Below are 11,330 nucleotides of genomic sequence, written 5' to 3'. Positions count from 1 at the left end.
TTTTGCTTTGTAAATTCTCATATCTCTTTTCTGATTATTGATAAGATAGATACAATGTATTTTGTAAAAATGTTTACATAAAATTTATTCTAAATGCCCATATTCCATGTTTATCACATGATACATTCAAGCTATCGTACTCCCTATTATTGAGCCTGTAGAAGACATTAGTTTCACTTTAGTGTTTTGTGATTCACATTGTCTTTCTTGAGGCCAAATCTAACCTCCTATTTCAAAAACATGAAATGCTTCTTTTTCCAGAAAACAATTCAAAATCTATTGTCATCAGTGTGCACGTTAAATAAAAGTAGCAGCATAGGTCTGGACACAAAGTACCTAACACATGTTTTCAAAGCCATGAAAGACTGGCTTATAAAATGGGAGTTATAATAGCTGTCAAAATATTCCCATTCAAATTGGATATTGCTAACTGTGAAGCACTATGGGATTACGTAACAACTAATATGATATAACATGAAGGATTAAAAAATACTTAATATCTGTTCCAAAAATCTAAATTTTTTTACAATTTATTAAAAATTGTGAAATAATTTTTAATAAATTGTGAAATAAAAATAGAGGAATAAATGTAATGAAATCATAGTTTTAGAAAAATTCATAACATGATATGTAGTATACAACAACTGGTTTGATCTTCAGAGTAATATAATAAAAAAAGTAGGGGGTGTTACAGGTCTGGATTAAAAGAGTAAACAAGTTATAAGAACAAAGTGTGATGGGTGAATTCAGGTAAAATATTGATTTAAAAAATGCTATGAAGAAAATTTCTAGTTCCAAAATATGCTGTAAAATATAATTGATAAAAATTGAATATATAATGGGTATTAAATAGTATAAAATTAATACATTTTTAATGTAAGATGATAGTAATGTGGCATTTTTGGCAAATGTCCTTTGGAGATGCATGCTAATTATTAGTAGAGAATTATGTTTAAAACTTATTTTTCAATGTTATAGATATTAGGTGTGTGCAAAATTAACTGCAGTTCTTGCCATTAAATTGGCAAATAATGTTATTAAAATTGCAGTTTTTGCAATTTTTATAATGGCAAAAACTGCAATTAGTTTTGCACCAACCTAATACACACACACACACACACACACACACACACGTATTTACAGGTAAGGGGTACAGAGGTTTATTTCCTATTTTTTTGACTGTTCTATATGTTTTAAATTGTTTATAGTAAATTATTGAGAAATATTTTCCAAATTACCCTGAGAATCTAAAAGGAGTTCTCTTAGATACAAAGTCTTTACCCTTTTCTTCCCTTGACACTGTGGTTTCTATATTTGTTTTCTTTTCGTCTATTCATTCTAACAATGTTTTAAGTATTCACTCTATGTGGCTAGTGTTCTGGTGTATCCAGGAGATACAAAACTGACTAATGTTGATTAAGCTGTGGAAATGATGAAGCACAGCAGCAGCGTGAGGACGGCCATGGAGCAGGGGAGCGGCTGGTACAGTTTCATTCAGGATGCTTGGCAGAGGCTTCACAGAGAAGGAGGCTGTGATGTCCAGTTGTATGTGTCCACTTGGCTAGGCTATAGCTTCAGTTATTCACGCAAATGCTAATTTAGGTGTTGCTGCGAAGATGTTCTGCACATTTGACTAAGGTCTATAATCAGTTTACTTTAATCATGGGAGTTTATCCTTGATAATCTGGGTGGCTCAGATTCAATCAGTTGAAAGATCTCAAGAGCGAAGCTAAGGCTTCTTTGAACGAGAAATTACAACTGTAGAGTGGCATTCAGCTCACACCCAAGAGTTCTGGTTGGCCCTTCCTGATCTATATATGGATTTCAGAGGCCCCACTATCTCATATTCCAATTTTTTTGAAAATAAGTCTCTCTCTCTCTCTCTCTCTCTCTCTATATATATATATATATACACACACACACACACACACACACACATATCCAGTATATATACACATATACTAGATACCAACATACAGACAGTTCAACAGAAGAAATCAGTTATAATGTTTAATGGCAGTATAGAGTGACTATAGTAATGACAATGTATTGCAATGTATTGTAGTTTTCAAAATACCTGGAAGAGAGGACTTGAAATGTACGCAACACATAGAAATGATACATGTTGGATGATGGATACCTGAAATACCCTGACTTTAGAAAGTCTTTTCCAAATTACTTTGATAATCTAAGAGGAGTTCTCCTATATCCAAAGACTTTACCCTTTTATACATTCTATGCATGTAATTACACATTCTATGCATAGAACAGAATTTCACGTGTACCCCAGAAATATGTACAAATATAATGTATCAAAAAAGCAAACAAAAAACAACAAAAAAATCACCCGTTTAAAAATTCAAAAGGAGCAAGTGGTTGTAAGTTGAAGTTTACTTATCACACCTGTCTCTAGTTACCTAGTCACCTCTTCAGCCTCCCATAAGAATTCAACATTAACACAGGAGTTTCTTATAACACCCTAATATTGCCTCCCCGATTAATAGTTTGACTGCCAATGGAAAAGTAAATACATAATAATAAATAAATTAATAATATTACTAAACAAAATAATAAATATATAAATTAATCAATAAATGTGATTATATTAATAAATAAAATAATAAATAAATGTAATGATATTAATACATAAAATATTAATTAATTAATTAATGTATTAATGTGTGTGTATTTTTTAATATATATATAATCAATCTATCTAGCTATACACATTATATCTCTATATATAATCTCCTATGTTTCTGTTTCTCTGGTGGGGCCCTGAGTGATACTGGAGTACTTAAGGAAAGCTTCGAAGAATGGGAGGAAATGAGCCCTGTGTCCATGCGGTTGAGTTCAGCGGGCAGGGAAGGAGCGTGGTCGGTGAGTACAGCAAGTACAGATACCAGCAGCAGGAGCTGTTTGGCATTGTTGGTCAATGTTTGAAACAGAGGGCAGTTTCCACTGTGCCTAGAGTGCACTGTTGGATAAGGAGAGTAGGCAGAAACAAACAAACTGTGCACAGAAAGGGGGGTGAATGTCAAGTCTAATATACCACTAAAACATATTGGGTTTGATCTCATAAAGTTAGAGAACAGAATGCTGATTACCAGGGTCTAAGGAATGCCATAAAATGTAACTTATTTTTGGCTCCTATAAACACGTATGTATATAAAATGAATTTATAGAATATAAATATATATTATTTTATATAACACTGTGTATATTATATAGTAATACATATGTATACATATGATTTTAATGTTAATAATGGAATTGAAACAATGTGTTGACATCAGTGCTCTCCTCTCACTCTTCAAGCTTGAGAATGGGGTGAATAGACTGGTGATGTTTTATGTTGAACACACATGGACATGTGCATACATATATCACTTTGGCACTGAATATTGAGGGTTCTTTCTATTTGAAGAAATGATTCATCCATCAAAACAGAAATTTGTCTGATGATATATTTTGAGCCTGTCCACATATTTTGTAAAGAGTTGTATGGCCTTATGAAACTCACACAATCTTTCTGGGTATGAGTTTCTGAATGATAATTAAACATGTTTGTATAGTCAGAAGCATATTTTTGTAAAAAGTTTACATTTTGGGGTCAAATATAAATTCTGCTACTTGTTAATTATGTGACTCCAAGCAACTGGCTCAACCTCTCTGAGTGTTCATTTCTTCAACTCCCTACTACGGTAATAACTAAGTTATTCTTTCAATTCCACCTGACTCGCCCATCCCAGACCTCCAGGATATTTCAGCATCTATACCTGGAGGAATTAGCATATATACCTGGGGTAATTAGTGTAAATTCATTCTTAGGAAGAGTGATTAATATTTTAGAGCTTAGTATAGAAGTGTGTGTGTGTGTGTGTGTGTGAGAGAGAGAGAGAGAGAGAGAAAGAGAGAGAGAAAATGATTTTACAAATGAAGAAAGTTACACTATAATAAAAATAGGCCATGATATATTTTACATTTGGCAAGGGAAAAATTGTACCACAAATTCACACATAAGAACTTAAGTACTGAACTTTTGGCATGAAAATAATATAACAACACTACCTCAAATGCCATAATATCACAAAATTTGGAGGAGGAAAAAATATATATATATATGAATTGTTTTATTAATTAAAAAATAAAAATAAAAATCTAGTAAAAAAAAGAGTTTTGCATTAGTTCCCATTAAAAGTAACACTCCCAAAATTAACAAACAGATATTATTTCAGTAACTGATGAGAATTTATATACCATAAAATTCACCATCATTTGGCTGTAGATTGTGAAAACATTTATGCCATTGGAGCTGTATCTGAACAGTCCCATCTGATAATAATTTTGCATAAGTTTTAACTAAATTAAATGCGTTAATCTTTGCATACATTTTTCTTATATACCCAATCTCTAATGTGACCTTTTCCTACATATAATTCTGATGTTAGCTGATCTACTTCATCCTTCGAAACTCAAGTGAAATCTGTGCTAATCCCATCCACGGGCTATGATTGATTCATGTCGTTCCAAATTTGCTTTGTAATTCAGAAGGCAATAGAGGATTCTAAGAGGAGGCGGGTGTTTGCTTATTCCCCAGTGGGCTCTTCGCCTAAACTTCTGATTCCATGGACATTCTATGTGTGATTTAAATAACACCATGACACTTTGGAGATAGAGTACGGTCCCCTGTCTTAAAGACAACACATGCTACCTGAACTTTGTATAAGATATAAGAATTTCCTGAAGTTTTGGGCTGGCAGAAAGATTTTATATTTCTAGGTGACTCTATTCTGTCTCCAGATTTCTTAATTCCCCATTTCCCAGTCCTCTCACCAAGACCTTTGTCTGGAAATTCAATCTCCCTAGCTTTATGATTGTAAAAAAATAAACTCTCTGCCTCTCATTGATGTATTCTGCTAAGAATGATGACTGTATTTTTAGTAGAGACGGGATTTCACCATGCTAGCCAGGATGGTCTTGATCTCCTGACCTCATGATCATGAACCTGGGAGGCAGAGGTTTCAGTGAGCCAAGATCGTGCCACTGCACTCCAGCCTGGGCGACAGAGCTAGACTCCGTCTCAAAAAAAAAAAAAAAAAAAAAAGAAGAATGATGACTGTAAGATCAATTTGCCCTTTGTTGCTTAGGAGAATAATGACAATAAGAACAAGAAGAAATGAGAATGAATGAAGGGATGGGGTGGGGAAGGAAAAAGTAGAGGTTTCTATATGTCTCAGACTTTATCTTCTCACTCACTCTCTGGAAAAGCCAGTGGAGCCTGCCTTCCTCACTAGCACAACTTAGGAAATTCCCCTTGGAGTATATATGCATCTTTTGCCTGCTAATATTTGGAGTCCAGCTGTGTAGCAGTGCTCCCTAGGAACTTTACTTGAGTAAAAAAGTAAGAGTTCCATCTAATCAATTCTAAATTCTGATGCCACATTAATTTTATTTCTGCCATTACTTTTAAGTAGAGCAGAATCTACTCTTGAAATAGCATCTGGGGGAGCTAACTTGGTAGAGAGAAAGTTTTAAGAAAATAACATTAATAGTTGTTTGGTTGTTGTTTGTTTCTTTCTTTTGAGACAGTCTTGCTCTGTCACCCAGGCTGGAGTTCAGTGTCAGAATCACAGCTCACTGCAGCCTAGACCTGCTAGGCTCAAGTGATCCTCCTGCCTCAGCCTCCCAAGTAGCTGGAAGTGCATGTGCCATCACATCTGGCTATTTTTTTTAAGGGGTTCTCCTGTGTTGCTCAGGTTTTATTCTTGAAATCCTGGGCTCAAGTGATCCACTCGCCTTGGCCTCCCAAAATGCTGGGATTACAAGCATGAGCCACTGCTCCTGGCCAATTATTTATCTCTAGAGAAGACGGTGAGTGAGAGAGCTTAAATTGTGTCCAAAGGGCAATGTCATTTTGAATCCTAACTTTACATGGTTTTTACCAATGCAGTCATATATGAGACCTATAAATAAGTAAGAAATCCCAGCATAGGAAATACTTTGCATATTTAGAGACATATTTTGTGTGTGTGTGTGTGCGTGTGTGTGTGTAATATGTGTGTTTCTATGTGTGCATTATTTATTTATTTATTATTTGGCCAGAAAATCTTAGTGCTAGTAATTTTCATTAACAGTTTTCTGGAGTTAATTACTAACATGGGAGCTCACAATTATGCCTATTATTCAAAACGTCAAAGAAAAAAGTCATAATACTCTTGCCCTTTGCCTTATATTTTAACCTCACCCATTAGTTCTGCATCAGTCACAATAAAAATGATCAGTCCCTCTTCTACATATAAAAAGTGTGTTTCACATTATTGATTAAACTGTGCCTTGATGGCTCTCTTCTCTAAATAATAGTTGAAGAAAATTATTGATTACATCTAGGAATGCTTTATTGCAGCCTCCTTCTTAACGATCAGTGGCATGAGGTCAATGTACATTTAATCAATTTTTGATTCATTTATGATTGGAAAATTGGTAAATTTTTTCACTCAGCTCGAGAGGTACACTCATCACAAAGACATTTCATTCAATTGAACTTTGGCCATGAATTTGAAGGGACATCTTATGGCATAATTAAGTAAATACACAAATTTTGTTTTATAAGGTGAATATTACCCTATAGGGATATGACGGATTCTTGGTTTACATCCAGACTAAAGAAATCCTGGCAGAGTCTTCCATGGCAAATCCTACCTCTTGTGAAAAGTGCAATTACATCTTTAATATATACCTACTGCAGACCAGCCTAAATTTATTATGGAATATTCTTTTAGTAATAATTACAGAAATATCAGTGTTTTATCTGCACCCACCCTTTAAGTGAATGTGGCTTTCACACCATCTTAATGTTTTTATCTGTGCAATTGTATGATTTACTCACAGGATGGACATCTGGCAGAAAATCTGTGACCTGTGAGTATGATGAACAAGAAATTTTTAAGCGGGTCACTGCTATAAATCAAGAGGTCATTGCTAGACATGATCAACTCTTTGACCTGTCAGAATGACTAGTTCATTCAAAGAGAGAAAAAAAACAGAGCACAATAAGCACACCACACCACCCAGTTATAAATGTAATGATTCTTCTATTGGAAATGTGTTGTAGTTGCTGGGCTTAGAAAATAGGACTATTCTACTCTTTTTGCCTCTGCCGATTTAAAACCTAAATAGCTGTAATCCTGTACCTCATTGTTCTCATATGTAAAGTCATATTAATATACCTTACAGGAAAATGGCAAATGAAACATTATATGATTTTTTAATTTGTCATGAATGCTTAATAAAGAATATGGAGAAATATGATAGTAATTTTCATAATGTTTTGCTGATGATGCAACACCAAAAATGAAAAGGTCTGTGAAGCTGTACCTGTTTCACAGCTGCATGAAAATTCTTTCCAGTATTACAATATGTCAAGTACATTATGATCCTTAAGAAAAGCAATAAAATCTGTGAAATGACACTGAAATCACTATTTAGCCTCTTTCCCCTTTCCTGCTTGCTGTTGGTCAGCATATAAGACCATGAAAATGTGTTGAGTCCTCCTAGGTGGAAACTTTCTGTCTAAAACAGTGGTCTTTCATTGTCTTTGTTGTTTTAATAATTGTAGCTGCATCCTTGCAGTGATTCCCCGAGTCTTTTTATGTACTGATAATAATGGTCAGTTATTAGTCTTGGCCTTGAAACTGTGACCACACAGAAAGTGAATAATTTTGTACAAAGTATGAATGGGTACCAATTTCTACATGTGTTTCCTTTGCAGTAATTGATTTTCTGTATAAGTTGTGAGGTGTGACTTTGTCCCACAATATAGCATTTTGTTGCAGAATATTTGGAGGTAGGCAATAAGTGTTTAATGATGACGCATTACCGATGAAGGTGACGATGATGATGATGATGACTGATGATACTCAGGTCACACCAAATAGCAAATTCTGTATACTTAGAAAATAGTTTTCTATGAAAAGTATTTTGGGATGTACTTCTTGACATGTAATACACAGGACGAAACTCAACACAACACTGAAATAGATGTATCTATAAATGCACATATTTTCTTTTAAATATGTACATACATATAAATGTAGGCATCTATAACTAGGGCAGACCATGTATGTGTTGCTTTTTTCCCCTTTTATTATACTAATGACCATAATTCATTTAGGAGAAAACATACACACAAGAAAGCAACCTCTGTGCTTGTTTGACCCTGAATTCTTTCCTTAAATTGGTCTTCCCCTTGGTTCTAATTGCTATAAATAAATGCTGTTTGCCTGCACTGATAAATGGAGAGAAAACCTGAAGTCAAACCTACTCATGCTCTGCTGGCCACTCCCTCGTTTCTCATTCCTTCTTATCCTTCCCATCCTTGATATACTACTTTCATTTCCCCAGTTAATTCTGGTCTAGGCTGGGTTATTTTCCAGTGTCAATGTTGGCTCATCTCCAAGATAGCAACACCAGACTAATCGCTCTTGCTTATATGAGACATCAGAGGTTTCTATAGTCGTGACTCCAGCCAAGCCAGCATCTACCCTTCCTTTACTAGAGATCTGCTACACCCATTATATGGAGAAGAGCAGTGGGCCAGAGAGGCTTGAGACACCCAGCATTTACTTATAAGTAGAGTTTCCTAACAGTCTATGTGTACTGTTACCTTGTCATCGGCCAGAGACTAGGCTACTGCTACCGAGCTCTCTTTAGGCAGTGGGGTCATTTCATGAACATGCATGCCTCTAAAATGCTTTAAAATATCATGATGGCCAATCAGCAGAGAAATGATATTTGCTATAACCGTTACGTTGTCAATATATAGAATCAGTATACGTGTATTACTGCTTCCTTTAATGGATTTATTCACATTCAATTTGTTATTTTTTTTTTAAATTTAGTACCTAATACCTGACAGCAGCATTGAAAAGACAAAGTAAGTATCAACTTTATAATTGTCATCCAGAAGGTTACAATTTGGTTGGCGATAAAGATTAAAAAGTACACGGAGATTAAGAAATAATGCCAGTGTCAAATGAGACACACCTGACTGTGGGAGGCATGGAGGGTGTTGCTTGCACAAGAAAATGATCAAAGTTTTGGAGGGATCAGCAGGTGAATCTTACATCATCTTTCAATTCTGAATATTATTCTAAATGTTCCATTTAGTTAGAGAACTTATATTAGGCATTTCGGAATATAACAGCGGGTCATAGATGGTTTGTATCCTCTCTTTCTTAAATAATTTTGATCTCTGTCCTTTTGCATTATAGGCTTACCTTCCTACCGAGCTGAATTTTATTTAAAGGAGAAAATGAATAATTTTTCCTCCTATGAATTGCATATATTTTAGAAGTAGTTGCTTGACAAATGTAGATCTTTATGAAATAGAAACGTATCAATCTTTTTAATTATTTGGCCTGATGAAAGGCAAAGTGACCTCCATTGTGGACTTAAATTTTGTAATAATTCTCACGACCGTCAAAACCAATACTCAAAAAATTTCACCCAATGCATAAGTTGTTAACAGGGTTTATACCCCCATTAATACTATATAACTATTAATTCATAAATTGCAAAATATTATCTTTAGGCTGAGTCTAAATTCATATAATTCCTATATATTCATATAATAATTAGGTACATAACACATACTAATTTTATTCATATATTTTAACTAATATACTGCAATTTTGAAACACAGTAATAACAGTTACTAAATAATACTATTTAGTAATGATAATTATTCTTTAACAAATTAGGTTACTTTAGTAGTTAAGTACTTACTGTGGGCTAAGTACCTTGCCATGTGCTGTGGACACACCAGCCAGCAAAAGTGATGCAGTGACCTCATTTCAGAGTTTCTAGTCTAAAAGGAATTACCTAACTTCAGTTGTCTGGTTCAGTGTTCACTAAAAATCATGACATTGAAAATGATAAGTAATGATGTACACATATTAAAATTTCAAGATTTAGCAAATAGAAATATTTACGTGGGATATATATAGAAAGTATATATACTTTTATATATTATATATATGTATTCAATGCAGATTACTATGTCTTTCATCATTGGCCAAATAATTCAGAATAATTAATATGAAGTATATGCTTATATACATATATAAATACATATATCATCATATATAATTTTATATATGTATATACACATCATATATACATCATATATACTTTTAATATACATGAAATTATATGAAAATATATATTTATATATAAACACACACACACATACACTTACTTCTCTGAATTTCAAATTTACCTGTGTTATATTCAATCTGGCAACTGTAATATATACCACTTGTAGTGAGTTGAATTATGGCCCCCCTCAAATTTGTATGTTGAAATTGTAACTCACAGCATCTAGAACACAACTTTATTGGGAATTCGAATATTTGCAGAGGTAGTTAGTTAGGATGAAGGGGTGCTGGAATAGGGTGGGCCCCTAATTCAACATAATTGGTGTCCTTAGAAAAGGTGGAAAATTGGACACAGACATGCTCAAAGAGAAAATGTGATGTTGAAAGCAGAAATCTACAAGGGAAGTAACGCTAAGATTGTGGACAGCCACCAGAAGCTAGAGGAGAGGCACAGATTCTGCATCACTATGCTCAGAAGGAACCAACCCTGCCAACGCTTTGATTTCAGACCTCTGCCTCCAAAACTGAACTGTGAGACAATTCATTTTCATTGTTTAAGCCACTTTGATACAGCAACCCTAGCAAACCTATAGATATCTCCTTAGGGGGATAAATTAAAATGATTCTTACATTAAACAAAATACCTAAAAGGAATATTACCAAATTCTTACATGGTGTTCCTGTTCATTGATATGATTTTTACATTGGCCCATGAAGCTAGACAGGCAGTAGGTATGATTATTAATACTTACTGATGACAAAATAAAGCTTTCTCAGTGGATCTATAGTTTTCTTAAAGTTGCAATGTTTGTGACAGGGCCAAGATTCATCTTACTCTAACTCCATTTTTAGTAAACTTGTTGATCTACTCTGCTGCTTCTCGTAGAAACTCATTGATATGTTTTGGCCATGTCCCCACCCAAATCTCATACCGAACTTAGTTCCCATAATCCCCACATGTCATGGGAGAGACCCGGTGGGAGGTAATCGAATCAAGGGGGTGGGTTTTCCCATGTTGTTCCCGTGATAGTGAATATGTCTCATGAGATCTGATGGTTTTGTAAGAGCAATTCCTCTGCACATGCTCTCTTGCCTGCCCCCATGTAAGACGTGCCTTTTCTCCTCCTTTGCCTTCCACCATGATTGTGAGGTCTCCCCAGCCACGGGGAATGT

General features: G+C 34.5%; 1 long non-coding RNA gene across 1 annotated transcript; it reads left to right on the top strand.

Moving 5' to 3' along the window:
* The first annotated feature begins 2,779 nt into the window (after window positions 1-2,779).
* On the top strand, window positions 2,780-10,894 carry LOC107984609 (uncharacterized). The gene is made up of 3 exons (XR_001749999.1): window positions 2,780-2,880; window positions 8,901-8,935; window positions 10,490-10,894. It is a non-coding gene; the product is annotated as an uncharacterized LOC107984609 (long non-coding RNA).
* Window positions 10,895-11,330: the final 436 nt, after the last annotated feature.

The sequence above is a fragment of the Homo sapiens genome, chromosome 13 (assembly GCF_000001405.40).
Source record: "Homo sapiens chromosome 13, GRCh38.p14 Primary Assembly".
NCBI lineage: Eukaryota > Metazoa > Chordata > Mammalia > Primates > Hominidae > Homo > Homo sapiens.
This window is presented reverse-complemented; position numbering and strand designations above follow the sequence as displayed.